At 45.6% G+C, this 17,984-nt stretch overlaps 1 protein-coding gene across 1 annotated transcript; it reads left to right on the top strand.

Annotated features, from left to right (window-relative positions):
• The first annotated feature begins 4,870 nt into the window (after positions 1 to 4,870).
• Positions 4,871 to 7,604, top strand: GPR31 (G protein-coupled receptor 31). Its single transcript, NM_005299.3, has one exon. The coding sequence runs from the start codon at positions 5,020 to 5,022 to the stop codon at positions 5,977 to 5,979; it is 960 nt and encodes a 319-aa protein (NP_005290.2). The 5' UTR covers positions 4,871 to 5,019; the 3' UTR covers positions 5,980 to 7,604.
• Positions 7,605 to 17,984: the final 10,380 nt, after the last annotated feature.

The following is a 17,984-nucleotide window of genomic DNA, read 5'->3' as shown; positions in this document are numbered from 1 at the left end:
GACTGAGGAAACAGCACGCCTCTTATCATGTTCTTCTGGGAGAAAGTGCAAGGAGCACCACATTCCACCCGAACAAGGGTCAGAAGTGCCTCATCATGGGAACATCTGCTCAATATCCTGCCGGGCGCACGCCATAGTGCCCATACCCCTCCTGCCCATACATTTACATTGCCCCAGCCTGTAAGCCCGCAGTGGGCACTGGCATTGGGCTGGTCCCCCACTTCTTTTGGTTTTATGCTGGACGTAAAGCCTGCGTTTGCTGTCAAGCCACCCTCTTTCTATGTATGTGTCTTTCTTTAACCCTCCCCTTTCCTTCAAAATCTAACACTGGTCACACACAGTGGGCAGTCCCCTCTGCCCAACTGGACCTTCCCTGCCCAGAGCTTCCCCCATCCCTCAGCCCCTTAGCTGACTTCTCTTCACTCTCCTCTCTCCATGACACCTCTCTCATGACACCCACCCCCACTGCAGATGCACCTTCTAGCTAATTGTATCATATTGTTCTCTACAAGTCTGTTCCCACATTCATCTTCCCCACTAGAACATAAGCCCCTTAAAGTCAGAGTGTGCTATTGTCAGAGGCATTTGAACCAGAGCAACTCCATCTTGAATAGGGGCTGGGGAAAATAAGGCTGAGACCTACTGGACTGCATTCCCAGATGGTTAGGCATTCTTAGTCACAGGATGGGATAGGACGTCAGCACAAGGTACAGGCCGCAAAGACCTTGCTGATAAACGGATGTGGTAAAGAAGCTGGCCGAAACCTACCAAACCAAGATGGTAACAAAAGTGAGCTCTGCTCATCCTCACTATTCATTATGCGCTCATTATAATGCATTAGCATGCTAAAAAGACACTCCCACCAGCACTGTGAGTTTACAAATGCCATGGCAACATCAGGAAGTTACCCCATATGGTCTAAAAAGGGGAGGAACCCTCAGTTTCAGGAATTATCCACCCCTTTTTCAGGAAAATCATGAATAATCCACCCCTTGTTTAGCATACAATCAAGAAATAATCATAAAAATAGCCAACTAGCAGGCCTTGGGCCTGCTCTGCCTATGGAGTAGCCATTCTTTACTTTCTTAATAAACTTGCTTTCACTTTACTCTATGAATTCATCATGAATACTTTCCTGCACAAGGTCCAAGAACCCTTTCTTGGGGTCCGGATCAGGACCACTTTCTAGTAACACTATAAGCATTTGTATCCTCAGTATAAAATGAGTAACACTCATTGTGTTCTAAATTTGTTGAATAAATAAGAAAAGAGCTAAACTTTTCCCAAAAGGCAAAGTTAAAGAGGTCCGATCTTGGCCCTCAGTAGCCAGGAGGTCACCTCCCAGGCTTTAGGATATCATGCCCAATGGGGATGTCTTTGTTTGCCTGGGGACCCTCAGCCAGACAGACAGTAATAATGTGGTTTAGGGTGAGGGCTTTGGTCCTGCAGCTGTAGCTCAGCCCCCAGAGCAGCTAGAGACTAAACACAGCCTCACAGATGGCCAGCTATGCCTGGGTGAGGTACTCCAATAAAGACTCTGGATGAGGAGACCCAGGTGAGCTTCCCGGTGTGGCAGTGGTCTGGGCACTGTCATCCATCGATACTGAGAAAGTAACACTGTCCTGACTCACAGCAAAAGGACAATGGGAGCCCCACGCTTACAATTTTCCTGGTCTCTGTCCCATGCACCTCTTCCCTTGGCTGATTTTAACCTGTGTCTTTTCACTGTAAAAAATGATATAGCTATGAAAGTAACAGCTTCCTGTGAGTTCTGTAAGTCCTTCTAGAGAATTATCTAACCTGAGAGTGGTCTTGGGGACCTCCAAACTTTAAGTTAATGTCAGGCAGAAGGTGGTCTTGTGGGAATTGTACTGTCTCCCTAGACTTCACGGCGGGCTAACTTTGCAATAAGTAGCAGGAGAATCTAAGTCTGAGTATTCATTCAGTCTTTATGAATAACCATCTTTCTGATTATTGTAAGATATAACAGAAAAATTAGAAAGGAAAAATGCAGAGAATTAAATTTCTGTATCTGAGTCTGGTGGCACACACCTGTAGTCTTAAGTACTCAGAAGGATCCCTTGAGCCTAGGAGTTGGAGATTACAGTGAGCTATGATACTGCCACTGCACTCCAGTCTGGGCAACAGAACAAGACCTTGTCTCTAAAAAAACAAACAAACAAAAAACCTTTAAATGTATGTTTAAATGTATGTGTGGGTTTAAGCAATAATTCAGTTTTCATTTAAAGTTAGGCACACGTGTAAATAAAATACACAGCATAAAAATTGAAATGAACACAGAGAAGTTTCCTAAACAAGTAGAGTATTGAAGAAATAGTAGTAATGACTGAAAATAGTCTCTAGGGGTGATAAGGTTTAATAAATCAAGATCCCTAAGGGAGAAGCTCAAATACTATAACTTTAAAAGAGATGGTCTGAAAAACAATTCAATGTCTTTCAGAAGTGAAAAAGATGAATCAAAGTACTTTAAAAAGGGGCAGAAGTTTTTAAAAAGGAAAATACGTAATTATTAATGTTCACATGCCAGTTGAGCTAAAATATTTATAATTTAGGAAGTTATTGGTGGTATAAACTGAAATCTGAAATTAAGGAGTAGCTTTTAAGGTCTGTTAAAGTTTTTAGTGTGTTGCAAGAAAGATATTTCAATCCATTTCTTTCCTGCATTTATGAAACTTTAATCACTAAAGAGTTGAATTTGCTGCCAGCTTTTCTGAGGGTCATTGTGTGCCTGACAACATTCGTCCAAATGAGACTAACTACACCACCCACAGGTCAGCGTTGTGCTCTATCCTCTTGTTCCCCAGGAACAATGTCGTAATGAACATGCAACCAGAGATCCTCATTCATAGAAGGTGTCACTGTGCAGAGACTAGTTGGGACATTTCCACAATTCCAGATGCTTGGAGGACTCTCCAAATTCACCTCCTTAGAAAACAAAAAGGCATGCGGACTTGTATGACATAGAAATGGGATGATATGTGGGCTGGTAGTCCCATTTTTAAAAATAATGGAATAATGAAAGCAAGAAGAATGCAAGTCAAATTACCTTGATATCATACAAATCACAGCCCTATGGGACTTGAAAAAGAGTGAAGCCTGACCATTAGCCATAGGACTATAGGGAAGCTGTGAATCCAGTTCTGGTTGAAATTTGGGCTGGGAGGGTCCTGGTCCCACCACTTACCTGCCTGTGACCTTGAGCAAATTACCTAATCTTACCATGCCTCCATTTCTTTACTCATAAAATAGAGCTTAACATTGTACCTACTTCATCTCACTATTGTACGGTTCATTGAAATAACTTAGGCCAGCACTAACAATGACTGACACGCAATGAACATGCAGTATACTTTAGTAATAATAATTATTAAAGCCTTAAACTTGGATACTATAATTGAAGGCATCAAAACACCATAGAACGGATATTTAGTACAAAAGTGTTTTATCGCGTTAAGAGATAACGAATAGTTTTTTAAAGCCTATGCATCAGAGAGGCTTAATAAATACTCTAGTAAAAGCATCAAGCTCTCACAACACCCAGACATGGCGCTAAGTGCTTTACCTGTAATAGTACCTTGACTACTCAAAAGAACTCTTCAAGAAGGTGTTACCATCTTCACCTCTCAAGTGAAGAGCCTGGAGTTCAGAGAAGTTAATTTGCTTTCCCAAAACCACACTGCTAATAAATGGAGAAACAAAAAATTATAACTAAAGTTTACTTAACTCCAAAATTCAAACCAGGCTGAATGGACCCAAGATAAATTAGAGTCAACAGTGGGAGAGGACCAACTTAAATTAGAGTCAATATGGGTAAGACCTATGATGAAGTAGGGTCACCAGTTGGTAAGGATCAAGATGAAGTAGGATCAAGAATGGTTAGGACTGAGATAAATTAGGATCATCAGTGGGTAAGAACCAAGATGCAGTAAGGTCAAAAGTGGGAAAAGATCAAGATGAAGTAGGGTCAACGTTGAGTGAAGACCAGGATGAATTAGGGTCAATAGTGGGTAAGGACCAAGGTAAATTAGGGTCAACATTGGGTGAGAACCAAGTATAATAGGGTCATTGATGGGTAAGGACTGAGATGTATTAGGGTCATCAGAGGGTAATGATGACTGCACACGTTTATTCATCAAAGAAATGCTTGTTGATAATGCTGTGTGCCAGGCATTGTCTGTCACTAGCGACACATGGATATATGGAGTATGTCCCTGGCTGATGAACCTAACTTTCTAGTGGATTCTACGCATTTTTACAAGCCATTGATTTTTCCATGCTTCCAGGGCCCACTCCAGGCCCTGCTGGTCCAGATCCCAATCCAAGTGGTGTACTAGGTAGGAAAGACTCCAGCAGAGAAAATAAAATAAATTTGTATTTAACAAAACACAAGTACAAGTGAAACCATCAGCTATGGAATGAGCAGGTTGTCTCAAATCCCCTTTCAAGTTTAAGTGTGGGGACCACATCTGACCAGTGTGTAAAATCAAGCCCCATGCAGAAGGATCCCAGCAAGCGTCCTTTATGTATGAAAAGGAAGAAGAAAATTTCCCCATGAAACATATTCAAAGTAGAGAACAATCTTTTTGATTCCATTGTTATTTTAATTGTATACAGACATAGGAGTCTTTGCATAATTAGACTTTTCCTTCTTTCAGGACTGTGGATGCAAAGCCCTGGACCCCCAGACGTTATAGGACATTACTCCTCAGCTTTGCAGCCCGGTGATGTGAAGCGAAACACCATTTCCCCTTTTTTATGGCGGAAGAAAACAGAACACAACTGCAAAGGGGCTTTTCCCTCCCCTGCTCATCCTCTTTCCCCAAATGAATTTTGGTTTGCTGTGGACTCTATTCTGCTGAGGAACTGTTCTTGTTGGGCAAATGTAGATCTTGTCTACTCTGTGGCAGGAAAAGGCCTTTTCTTTCATTTTGTAAGAAAGAGCACAGAGTTCCTCCTGTACCTGCTCCAGCTGTGCCTGCAGCCCCTCACGGCCGGGTGATGCCATTCCCAAACTGCTCAGCCCCCAGCACTGTGGTGGCCACAGCTGTGGGTGTCTTGCTGGGGCTGGAGTGTGGGCTGGGTCTGCTGGGCAACGCGGTGGCGCTGTGGACCTTCCTGTTCCGGGTCAGGGTGTGGAAGCCGTACGCTGTCTACCTGCTCAACCTGGCCCTGGCTGACCTGCTGTTGGCTGCGTGCCTGCCTTTCCTGGCCGCCTTCTACCTGAGCCTCCAGGCTTGGCATCTGGGCCGTGTGGGCTGCTGGGCCCTGCACTTCCTGCTGGACCTCAGCCGCAGCGTGGGGATGGCCTTCCTGGCCGCCGTGGCTTTGGACCGGTACCTCCGTGTGGTCCACCCTCGGCTTAAGGTCAACCTGCTGTCTCCTCAGGCGGCCCTGGGGGTCTCGGGCCTCGTCTGGCTCCTGATGGTCGCCCTCACCTGCCCGGGCTTGCTCATCTCTGAGGCCGCCCAGAACTCCACCAGGTGCCACAGTTTCTACTCCAGGGCAGACGGCTCCTTCAGCATCATCTGGCAGGAAGCACTCTCCTGCCTTCAGTTTGTCCTCCCCTTTGGCCTCATCGTGTTCTGCAATGCAGGCATCATCAGGGCTCTCCAGAAAAGACTCCGGGAGCCTGAGAAACAGCCCAAGCTTCAGCGGGCCCAGGCACTGGTCACCTTGGTGGTGGTGCTGTTTGCTCTGTGCTTTCTGCCCTGCTTCCTGGCCAGAGTCCTGATGCACATCTTCCAGAATCTGGGGAGCTGCAGGGCCCTTTGTGCAGTGGCTCATACCTCGGATGTCACGGGCAGCCTCACCTACCTGCACAGTGTGCTCAACCCCGTGGTATACTGCTTCTCCAGCCCCACCTTCAGGAGCTCCTATCGGAGGGTCTTCCACACCCTCCGAGGCAAAGGGCAGGCAGCAGAGCCCCCAGATTTCAACCCCAGAGACTCCTATTCCTGACAACAGCCAGCGTCCTCAACGCCCGTGTTTATGGAACTACCTGCGACCTAAATAATAATTACTCCTACTTTGGGATTCTGGAAGAAGAAGAAGTCTTAAGACTGCAATACAAGGATCAGAGCATAAACATGGGCACAGTTGCTGCAGGTGTGGTCTTATACTTTGTTGACCAGGGTGGTCCTCTGTGATTTTACCTTGTAGAGTGGCAAATCAAAATGAACAAGCTAGAACCTCCTCCTACCCAACTATGATGCAGATTCAGTTGCTGAACTGAAAAGTCGGGCAGCTACTCCATCTCCACACTTGAAGAAATGTAATTTGCTAAATCAGTGAAGGAAGAGAAGAAAGCCGGGTGATGGCATCTTTCCAACTCTTACTTGGTCTCAGCAAGTCATTTTCATTTATTATGCTTCAGTTTTAAATACAAAAAAAAAACTATGTTTTCTTCCCACCTGCTGTGCAGACTGGGGATGACCGACATCAGAAAGTGCCCTGGTTCTAAAAAGAGACTCTGCTGTATATAAGGTACTGTCGTACATGCTAGCCTTTATTTGGAACATAACATTTTTGTTTTCATAAAATTTTGCTTCATTTTTCTAGATTATACATTATGTTAAGGAAAATGTAGTGAGTTCCCTAGTTTACTGTAAGAAATGCTTTCCTGATACGTTTCTGGAATTTGCCTCTAGAGCTGTTTTTTAAGTTTGAATGTCTAAAAGGCTTTTGAAATGTACTTTGCTTCCCCCGATGTGAAAAAAAGGTCACAGAACTTTATGCCTCCTGCGAGAAGTGCACAATGTAAGCTATCACGTGGTGTTTGAAATGGTCATTTCCAACCCCGCTGGCACAGCTGGTGGACAATGGTGCTCGGGACATGCCAGGGCTCCATGGGCCACAGTGTGAAGGTGGGCAGGCGTCCAGCCCCAGCCTCTGGATGCCGTTACAACAGCTGCCATCTTTTCATCTCATTCCTTGTAAATTGTATTCCAAAACTGAGTCTCACGATGATGATAAAAGATTTTCAAAGTCACTTTCCTTGTTGCCTTATCTCTCATTCTCTGCTCAAACCTAAAAGTTTGCTTAGGGCCAAAAAGCAGTCACCACCATGCCCAGAGGAGGCGGGAGGCCTGCCTTGTCACGACATGGGCCTGGTGAGCTGCCCCTCAGCCTCCCTGGAGCTGCACTCATGTTATTCGTGTGCAGAAACTATTCTTTATCTCCTAACACGATAAAACACTTTTGTACTAAATATCAGTTCTGTGGTGTTTTGATGCCTTCAATTATCCCACAGGGGTGGTCCCAAGCTTTCTGTCAAATTCGAGGTCAAAAATGATGGCTCTAGGCAACAGAAAATGGCAAGTCTCCCATCTGCAGAGCTGACAGCCTGCCAGGGAGGTTCCTTATCAGAACCAAATTTGAAATGTGGGAGTGAGTTCCACCTGTTCTGCTAAGGAAGGGTGTAAAAATCTGCCCAACGAAAGGAGTATAATTTGGAATTCTACCAGCATTACTTTGCTACTGTCTGAGGTTTTATTTCCTCCTAAGTGAATAGAATTTCAAAGGGCTAAGAAGGGAACAGTGACCAGATAGTTGTGAAATGTCTGAATAAAATTCTTTAATGTGGACTCGTTCTACACTGTGCCTGTTTTCTTCCCTTGAAACAGAAAGGAAATATCTTCATTTTTCTTCCCCTGATCTTAATGCATATATAATTTTAAGTGCTGCTTTGAAAAACCTAACATTTGACAGAATCATTTTTCATATCATAATAAATGCCCCATAAGCATTCTTTGCATGGTTACACAATAGTCGACACTATGGGTGTTTCTTAACTGTTTTTCTGCTGTTGGATGTTGAGATCCATAACTCTCTGCACAGGTGGAATCCACACAGTGAAGTGGCATGGCCCCCTGACAGATGCCCTGTAGGAATAGACCCCCACAGGTGGGGACAGATGCCCTGTAGGAATAGACCCCCACAGGTGGGGACAGATGCCCTGTAGGAATAGGCTCCCACTGGAGGGATACAGCCCACCCCTCCACTCACAGGAAAAGCTCTGCAGTCCAGCACTGTGCGCGGGAATGTCATGGGGCTACAGACTCTCCCAAACCCCTTGATCTATGGCTTTTTCCCTGGGAATGCACTGTCTTTTCTCCAGGATACCACAACTTTCTGTACACTCTGCCTTCCCTGTGTGCATTTTTAGCCTGGCAAAATGCGCCTATATCTGGGGTGGTGTCAGCTCCACACCGCTGTCTCTCGAGTTCTTTCTGACATCTCCTGGGTGGAGCTGGCAGCCCTCCACTCTGCTCACAGGTGTGCCTGATGCAGCGCTGCAGGCCTGGGGGGTCCAGAGCTTTTAGGAAGCCCTGATACCTCGGCCAGCCCCGGGCGTTCTGGTTCAGTTGGCCTGGGGAGGAGCCTGGGCACTGGTAGGTCTGAAGTCCCCTCATTAATTCTATCAATGGGCAGTCAGGTCTAAGACTCGCCGGGTGAGTGGCTCAGGGCCTGGGCAACAACATCCTGCCCCATCACTTCTTAGCTCTGTGACCTGGGACAGAAGGGGACTTCTGTAAAATGGGGATAGTAAAATGTACCTCGTGGGATTATGGTGGGGATTAAGTAAAATAACACAAAACATTTAGCACAGTATGTCATAAGCATCAGTAAATACTAATTTGCTGTTTTTAAGTGATCACACAATTCTATTTTCATTGCTTACTTCCCCAACCAGATTGTGGGGGCTTTGGGGACATAGTTTTTCCCTCTGTATTCTCAACACAGAACCTGGCATGGGAAGGGTGTCTTATGAACTGGAAGTTGAAAAGTTCTGTTAAATCAAAGGTTGATTATCATTCTTCTTGTGTAGCAGATCCTTTTGGGATCTCCTATGGCTATTCTGTGTGCCTCATTTCGCTTCTCACATCTATGAAATGGGACTTTTCTTGTCCCTTGGGAGGCTGAGGATCACGCGAGTGGCCCCCACCTCCGGGGATGTTTCTCACGTGTCCAGCCCCATCTCATCAAAGGAGCATCCACAGCACTGCACATAGATGGGGTTTCTTCTTCAAAGAGATGAGATAACAAGGGTCTTATTCTTCTCCACGTTATTGTCTCTGAATAAGGAAATGACTCAAAAGGGAAGTGTGGACAGACGGTGAATGGCGAGTCTCAGGACCACGACTGTTTTGCTGCCAATAGCAAGTTCCAGTTTCTTTTCTCCCGTGACTCACTTGCTGTGATGAGGCAGGGGCACCATCATGTCTGAGAGTCATGCAAATCGGCACCGTCAGAATTCTGGCAGATCCAGGAAAGACAGCCAGGAGCTTCAGTTTCCACGGGAGTGATGAATTTCTTGTCCATACGGAGGCAATGCTATCAGCTGGGAAACTCCGTTAGTTGTTTCTCTTTCTAAAATCTACTGGGTGACAGCTAGAGAAAGCTCGTCCTCTGTCTTCTCATAATCATTTCTGCCAGTAATAAAATCAACACTTTCGGTTTATTTAAAGGTCAGGACAATAAAAGGACTCTGCATTTGCCTGTGAGCATGGCTGGGGACTGTGAAATGCATTTCGTGACTCCCAGGGGCTTCCAGAACATTCCACTAAGTACTTGTGAGGTCCTCAAATAATAGCCATCCTCATAATGCCTCTTTAGCGTGTGTGGTAAAAGATACATAAAATGTATCATTCTCATCATTTGTAAGTGCAATTCAGTGCCTTTAAGTACATCACACTGCTGTGCAACCACCACCACCGGCGACCGCCAGAACTCTCCTCGGCTGGTAAAACTGAAACTCTGCCCCATTATATAGCAACCCCCCACTTCCGTTTCCCCGGCCCCAGTCAACAACCACTCTACTTTCTCTCGCTATGGATTTGACCACTCTATGTTCCTCCTATGACTGGAAACCTATAGGATTTTCCTTTTATGGCTAGATTATTCTACTTAGCATGATATCCTCAAGGCTCACCCATGTGACGGCTTGTGTCAGAATTTCCTTTTTGTTGAAGGATGAATGATATTCCACTGCTTGCATACACCACATTTTGCTTATCCACGCATCCATGGGTTACATTCACCTTTTGGTTGTTGTAAATAGTGCTGTTGTGAACACAGGTGTACAAACATCTCTTGGAGACCTAGTTGAGTTCTTTTGCAGATATACCCAGGAGTGGAATTTCTGAATCATATGACAATTCAGTGTTTGATGTTGTGAGGAACTGCCATATTGTTTTCACAGCAGCTGCACTTTTTGCATTCCCACCAGCAGCACACAAGGGTTCCAGTTTCTTCATATCCTCACCAACACTTGTTCTTCTCCAGCTTGTTTGTCTGTTTTTATAGTAGCCATCCTAATGGATGTGCAGTGGAAAAGTGCTTCTTTGAAAATCAGGAAATGCTTAGTATCTTCAGAAACTAAGAAGAAATCTCTGTAGCTGGAACCTGGACACTACAACCAGGCCGACAATAAGTGTACGATGTGGCCACACCACACTCTAGTCCATGAGCTCACAGGCCATCTCCATTTTTAAGTCTTCTTTGTCACTGAAATCGCAGGTTAGAGGACAAGTGTATCCAGGAATTCTGTCAGCATGACCGTGATCAGTGGCAGAGCGTCCTCGTGACAGCTCCATGTGCCATTGGATCATCTCCTCTCATGCCACCAAGCTCTGCAATTAGAACAGGAGCCTGAACCTCCCATTCCATCACACAGCTAAAGAGCAGCAGAGATAAGACTCAAACTGAAGGCCTACAGTCTTTAAGTCTAGGAAACTGCAGCATCTCCGCTCGTCTCATACTCCACATTTTGGTTTACGGTTCACTGGACTGGAAGCTTGTAGGCCCTCGGTTTGGGTCTTATCTCTGCTGCTCTTTAGCTGTGTGGTCTTGGGCACAACAACACATGATGTCTACTTTTTTACCTGAAAAAAAATGAAGATGGTTGCACCTTCTTCAAGGGACTGTGGGGACGGCTGAACAAGCACACAAAAGTGCCACTCAAAACCACCCAGGGGAATTCAGCTGCTTGCAGGCCAGACCCTGCCCGACATGCAGAGGAGTGATCAACGTTTCCCTCGGTGTAACTTAGAAGGCCACATTCTCCTCTCCACAAATGGCGCAAGATTTTTCAATAAAAGGGGGACCCTTAAAAAATATTGTGTGGTTTGTGGTGAGAAATCAAAAGTACAGTGAAAACAGAAGAGCGAAATACCTTCTCTTTTGTCTTCCTTGAGTAAGACCCTTTCTCCTGCCTTCCTCCCAGCATTGCAGCAATGCTGCTGTTACACAGAGAGCCCAGCCCTCTTGTTTTCTTCTTTCTCTGCAGGTAATGCTCCCTTACTCCTTCACTCTCTGACATTTCAAAACCCAGTTCAGCTAATGACCTTCCTTTACAAGAATGTGACAGGCACTCCTATACGGCCCTGGCTGTTTTATCTTCGCTTCCTCATAATCAGCCTGCTGTGATTTGAATGTCCTCTCCAAAACTCAAGGTGAAACTTAATTGTCATTCTAAGAGGGCAGGAGGTGAGGCCTTTAGGAAGTGATTAGGTCATGGAGCCCCACCCACATGAATAAATGGGTTAGTTATAGCAAGAATGGGTTGTTATAAACTGAGCCTGGCCCCTTGTGCTTTCTCTTTCACAAACACTTGCTTGCCCTTCTACTCTTCCACTGTGAGATAACATAGTAAGAAGGCCCTCACGAGATGCAGCTGCCGATCCTGGACTTCTCGGCCTCTAGAACCATGAGCTAAATCAACCTCCATTATTTATAAATTACCCTGTCTGTGGTATTCAGTTGCAGCAAGAGAAAACTGACTCATACTCTGACACACTTTTCCATAAATCAGACACATGGTTCAAGAGCGTAGACAGTCTACACTCACACACCCAGTGTATGCCTGCTTCCATAAGTCAGCACAGCCAAAATGCAAAAAGCCCCAATGTAGTTGTATAATAAGTAGTTCTTGTTGACAAAACCTGTGAGGTAAGCAAGGAAGGTATCAATATCCTCATTTATAGATCAGAAAACTGATACTCCAAGAGGCTCAGGAGCTTGGCCGAGCCCACACGGCCACTAAACAACAAAACTGAGATGCAGTCCTAGATCTCCTGGAACTGCTCCAGCGCTCTTACGTTCTGGTCTCCTCTTGTCTTAGTCTCTTTGGGCTGCTCTAACACAACACTGTAGACTGGGTAATTTATAAATAACAAAAATGCATTGATTGAGGCTCTGGAGCCTGGGAAGTCCAAGATAAGGTGCCAGCAGATCCAGTGTCTGGTGAGGGCTGCTCTCAGCTTCAAAAATGGCACCATGTTGCTGTGCCCTCACATGGTGGAAAAGGCCAGGGAACTTCCTTGAGCCCTTTCTATAAGAGCAGTAGCCCCATTCATGAGGGCCCCATCCTCAGGACCTAATCAAAAAGCCCTACCTCTTAATACCACCACAGGTTGTTTTATTATTATTTTTTGAGACAGTCTTGTTCTGTTGCCCAGGCTGGAGTGCAATGGCATGATCTCGGAATCTCGGCTCACTGCAACCTCCACCTCTGGGATTCTCATACCTCAGCCTCCCAAGTAACTGGGATTACAGGTGTGCACCATCATGCTGGCTAATTTTTGTATTTTTAGTTGAGATGGAGTTTTCGCTATGTTGCCCAGATTGGTCTCAAACTCCTGGGCTCAAGTGATCCACCCACCTCGGCCTCCTGAAGTGCTGGGATTAGAGGCATGAGCCACCATGACCAACCCTACCACCACGAGTTTAAACATGAATTTTGTGGGGAACACTAACCTTCAGACTGTAGCCCCCATTTTTCTCCTCCTTGCCACTTTTGTCTTTGGGCTTATTTTTGCTCACTTATATTTTGATTTTCTTTATATCCAGAGGTGTACTGGCAAAACTGACTCTCTGTGGAAAAAGAAAAGCAGCAGCAGTTTTGACTTGTAGCATTTTCCAATTTCCAGTGTATATATACTCCCAGCATGGCTGATAATAAGCTACCAACAGTTTTAACAACTGGCTGTCCAAATTCCTGAATATTTCACAGCCGACTCTCCAGAACGTCACTGCCCATGCCCCCTTGTCTGCTGTGCCATCAGTCCCCACAGGTCGTGCCGCTCTCGACCTGCTGTCACACATGCAGAATAGAAGGCTAGGACAGAACTGAAATATATTAAAGCCATCCAAAGAAGAATTTCCTGCATACCCCAATAGAAAAACATCTACAAGTGTTGGCAAGGAGAACAGATCCTGAGCTTGGGCTCGGGAAGGTGCTGGAAGCCTGTGGTCCTGGCCAGCGTTTGACCCTGGCAGCACGCTTGCTTGCTGTCAACTCAAATGCATCACCTGCACCTGGTGGAAACTTTCAGAAACATCTTACCATAAAGTCTCTTCTTAAAGGCCACCAAACGGTCACAAAATCCAGGCACCCAGAAGAAACTCAGTGAAATGCTCCACAGCATGATCATGTAGTAACTGTAGGATGACAAAGACAAGGCCTTTAATTTCCAAAGAACTAAAACAAGGCAAGAGGCTGAGGTAGATGGTGCATGAAGCCAGACATCCTTGGGTTAAAATTCCAGGTTCTCCATGTGTCACTTGTAACTTACACTCTCCGGCAAGTCACATAACCACCTTGTTTCCGTGTCTATAAAAATGAGGTCATACTAATCTGTACCCAATAAGGTTCTTGGAAACGTTGAATTGCTAAAGCAGCCTCCTTCAATGTGAGTTCATGCCAACGCTTGTCCTTGGAGATGCCCCACAGGAAAGTTCCATGATGAAGTATGTTTGGGAAACATTGAATTCTGTACCCTCAATCGATCAGACTCTCTTTTTGTAATGAGTGAATAAAACAGCAATGCATCTACAGATATGGGAACTTAAGATTATTTTTGGAGAATATTTTAAATGAAAAGAAAACTTACATATGTAAGAGTTAGCAACCAAAAAGTGCTAGAGGATTTCTCTTTTATAGATTTTATTCCAAAAGTATACAATAACATGAAACAGTTGTTCTGTTGTATTTAACATTCCAATAAAGGATAGCAGCATTAATATTGGGCCCAAACTACTTCTTGTTTCCTAAGTTAAGCCAACTGAGTCCAACATGGTAGGAATTGTAGGAATTGGGGAAGAGGCTGGGTCTCCTCCACGGCTGATTAGCAGATGATAACCAGTTTCCACCCTGCCTACCCTGGCTTTCTTGCCTATAACCCATCTTCATCTTAAACACACATGGGATAAGTACTATCATTAATACCCATTTTACAGATAAGCAAACTGGAAATGTGAGAGTTGGAATAACTCACACAAACTCACACAACCAGCAAGGGACAAGACTAGGACTCAAATGCCAAATGTAGGCTCTAGGGGATGGCTCTGCCCTCTCTCCTATCTGCTGGTGAAACCTAGGGACTGCATTTCCCAGCAGCCACCTGCTTCCAAAAGTCATACAAGGACAAAAAAACTGAGTTTGCCAAGGAACTGAGTTGGGCCAAGACCACCAACTTTGTGTGTGTCAACCTCCTCCCCTGGGATGTGGCTGCCAGTTCAGGCTGTGGTCACTTGGAGCACATGAAGGAATCCTCTCTGTCAGCCCAGCTCAGCCCATGGAAAGGAGAACAAAATGCTCCCCACATCTTCAATCAAAAGTGACAGTTTGCTTAATGTGCCACTTTGAGTCAACAAGGGAATTGAGTTTTCCTTCTGTGACATTTCTTCTATCATTTTCACTTTACATCTCTAGCAGCTTCTGGAGACAAGAGTGGGATGGAAATCAGCCCCAGAGAGTTTCCCTTTGCTCCTAGATGCCAAGGCAGCCCTTCCAGGCAAGAGGCATCTCTGTCTACAGAGGGAGAAGAGGGAGGAGGAGGAAGCAGGTGAGAGGGAAGGAGAGAAGGCATTAGATCGAGACATGCACTCTCTGTTAGGCCAAGAACACCTGCTTTCTCATCACAGACCTGGCAGCTAGGGTGGGGAGCAAGCTCCCGAGCTGGCGGCTGTGTATTGACCACTCAAATACCGTTCATTTCACAACCCTTTAACTGGCTGCCCAAGGCCTAAATTCAGCTGACTGACAGATTTTGATTGGCTCACAAATAATTTTAAAACGTTCACATTATAGTTAGTGAATATATTAAAATTATATTACATCACCTACTTTCAAGTGAGGCTCTGCATTTTTAAAAGGCTAGATTTTCAGCTCTTCTTGAACACCAGAAGATTTGCAAGCCCTGGGCCCTCACTCTGCTCTGCGTTGGCTGGACCGAGGAGCTGGCGCCCAGAAGTGGGTTGTGCTCACCCTTCTCTCATTCAGGTCCCTGCCTCGTCCCTGCAGGCATGTATGTGTGTGGACCACACCTCACTGGGTTTCAAACATAATTTTGGTGTCCCTTCCTTGGGAAGTGTGATGCTTAATCTCATATGTGAACCTGGCTGGGCCATGGTGCCCGATGGTCAGACGCAAGTCTAGACGCTGCTGCGGGGGTATGCGGAGGCTGTGATGAGCGCCTGTTCTCAGTTGACTCTGAGTAGAGCAGGTGACCCTCCGCAATGTGTGTGGGCCTCATCCAATCCCTTGGCTTTAAGAACAAAAACCGCGGGTTCCTGGAGAAGGAATTCCCGCCTGCATTCTGTAAGGTACAAACTGCGCTTGAGTTTCCCGCCTGCCAGCCTGCCCTGCGGGTCTCAGACTCGCCCAACTCAAGCTTGGGCACCAATGCCTTTAAATAAATCCCTTAATCTACATGCACCGCTTGTGATTCTGCCTTCCTGGAGAGCCGCGGCTGACAGGAATGTGCTGTGCTCTCCAGTTCCCCAGAGGCAGCGATTTCGGGGATGGCTGGCGGTGCAGATTTTCAAAAGGTTTCCTTTTAACCCTTCATTTCCATTTTCACCACCTGCAGCTTCTCTCACCCTCGTGTGCTTTGTGCCTCTTACTTTAAGGCTTTCCTCTCCTCCCTCCCAGTGCCCCCCGCATTACACAGCACGGCGACCCCCAGACGGCCCTACTAAATCCTGCTGTGCTCTGCGGCCCCCAGAGCTGTGGCATGGGCTCTGTTCTACACCAAACCAAACACTTCTCACGCAACACCACACCAGTCGTATATTTGTATAGTGCTATTAAAAAATGAAAATTCACCAGATTTCCTATTGACCTCTGGACAGGGCCCAGAAACTCAAATTGCTCTATTAGCTATATACTTACATTATACTTTCTCCATTCAGCAAGATAACAGCATCCAACTCTTGCCACAAACCTATCCCCACTTAACACACGCATGAAACAGAATCACCAATTCTGAGTGAAGTGCTTTTGCCATTTAAAACACACTAAAGATCTATTTAATAGTAGTGATTATTTTTAACTTTTTTAAGTACTAGCAAAAGAAACCCCCTTTAAACCTGAGCAGGCACTTGGGCCGGAACACACCGGACGTTTTAGAGCAGGAAACGTGTTCCCGGAACACGGCCCCTCTGCGCTGGGAGCAGCGCAGTGCGCAGAAGAACCTGCGCGGAGGGTTTTGGTTTCTGTGTGCACATGAATGGCTAGAAAAATTCCTCCGGGAAAGGAAACACCCTCGTCTTTAATGACTCCTTCTTCTCATATTTACTAAAACTCTGAAGCCCTCCTCATACATCTGTTTTCAAAAGGCTCCAATCCTGTTCCATAATGAGTCCACGGTGCCTGGAGCACACGTGTGATTGCATTATTTTACCTACAACAGGCTAAAAGCAGTTAGAGCTTTTATTGTATTACAAAACATTTTGTGTTTCAAAAAATTTCGAACACCAGAATCCTACAATTTTAAGAGCTTGCTGTCTAGAAAAATGCATTAATTGTTTCTTTTGCCAATATGAAGGTCACAAATGAAAACCTGCTTTAAAAAAAAAAGGAAAGAAAGGAAACAAAGAATTAAAATGTAGGCAATGTACTGGAAACCAGTGACTTCATCACCGAATTGCTTGGTACGTAAGGAGTGAGTGGGGTGGGGGAACTGATGAAAATAGCTTCATTAGCAGACGGGGCAGAGGACACCCACCACCCTTCATGGGTGGCAGAGGGGTGGGGATGGAAGATGACACAGACTGATCTGGAACCACCACAGGCGCAACACCCGTTCATATCCAGCCGGCAGATGGAGTGGCCCCACTGGGCGCTGGTGGCGGGTAGGTGAGCGCCCTCCCCTCAGCCCCGCCCACCCTCACTGAGACCCTCTGGGGCCCCAGCTGCCCTCTGAACCATGACAACTGTAACAGCCAGCAGGAGCCTCGGGGTAGTCATGGTTGGCAGCCAGCCGGCCCAGCATCCCTCCTTTGGTTGCAAAATATTGACGTGGTCTGAAAATCTCTAGGCGAGAGTTAAGGAAGCCAAACCTGCCATTTAAAAGACAAGATCTAAGTAATACCCAAAAAGAGGGTTACACATTTGCTTCTCCGAGAAATATGGCATCAAAACAGACTCAGATAATAGCACATGTTGCTTTGACCCACCTCGCATTCAGCTTATTACTACTAACCATGGCTTAATAAATTCACTGCTTATTCCACGATGCAACCTCAGGACATCTCACCTGCCCCTGTGACTCATCTTACCGAGACAAGCCTGGAACAGTGATGTTCATGCTGTAGATTGGACTGAAGAGTTTACGCAGAAGAAAACATCTGAGTGACAATTATATGCCTGATGGATGTTTCTCAAACTAGGGACTCAGAATTGAAAAGCTATTCCCTGCCAAAGAACTCACTTTAGGGGCCTCTTATCATGCAAACAAAAATAAAGGTGATGCATTTGTAATTGCTCTAGGTGGTATTTATTTACAAAGCACAATGGAATCACAAGTGCAGCCCAAACCAAGAAGTCAAGGATGGTTGGACGGACATGGCCCTTGAAGTGGTACTAAGAGCCTTTTCTTTACCTGCATAATAACTGCATGTAGGTCTTGAGTGCATGACTCCTTATGACACAATGCATCCCTAACTCTGCTTCACCTCCA

This window comes from Homo sapiens, chromosome 6 (genome assembly GCF_000001405.40).
Source record: "Homo sapiens chromosome 6, GRCh38.p14 Primary Assembly".
In the NCBI taxonomy this organism is placed as follows: Eukaryota; Metazoa; Chordata; class Mammalia; order Primates; family Hominidae; genus Homo; species Homo sapiens.
The sequence above is the reverse complement of the archived record's forward strand: the minus strand, read 5'-3'. Positions and strand labels throughout refer to the sequence as shown.

Bases quoted from the DNA above. Each gene is read 5' to 3' on its own strand.
- GPR31 (NM_005299.3), top strand. From the start codon at position 5,020: ATGCCATTCCCAAACTGCTCAGCCCCCAGCACTGTGGTGGCCACAGCT.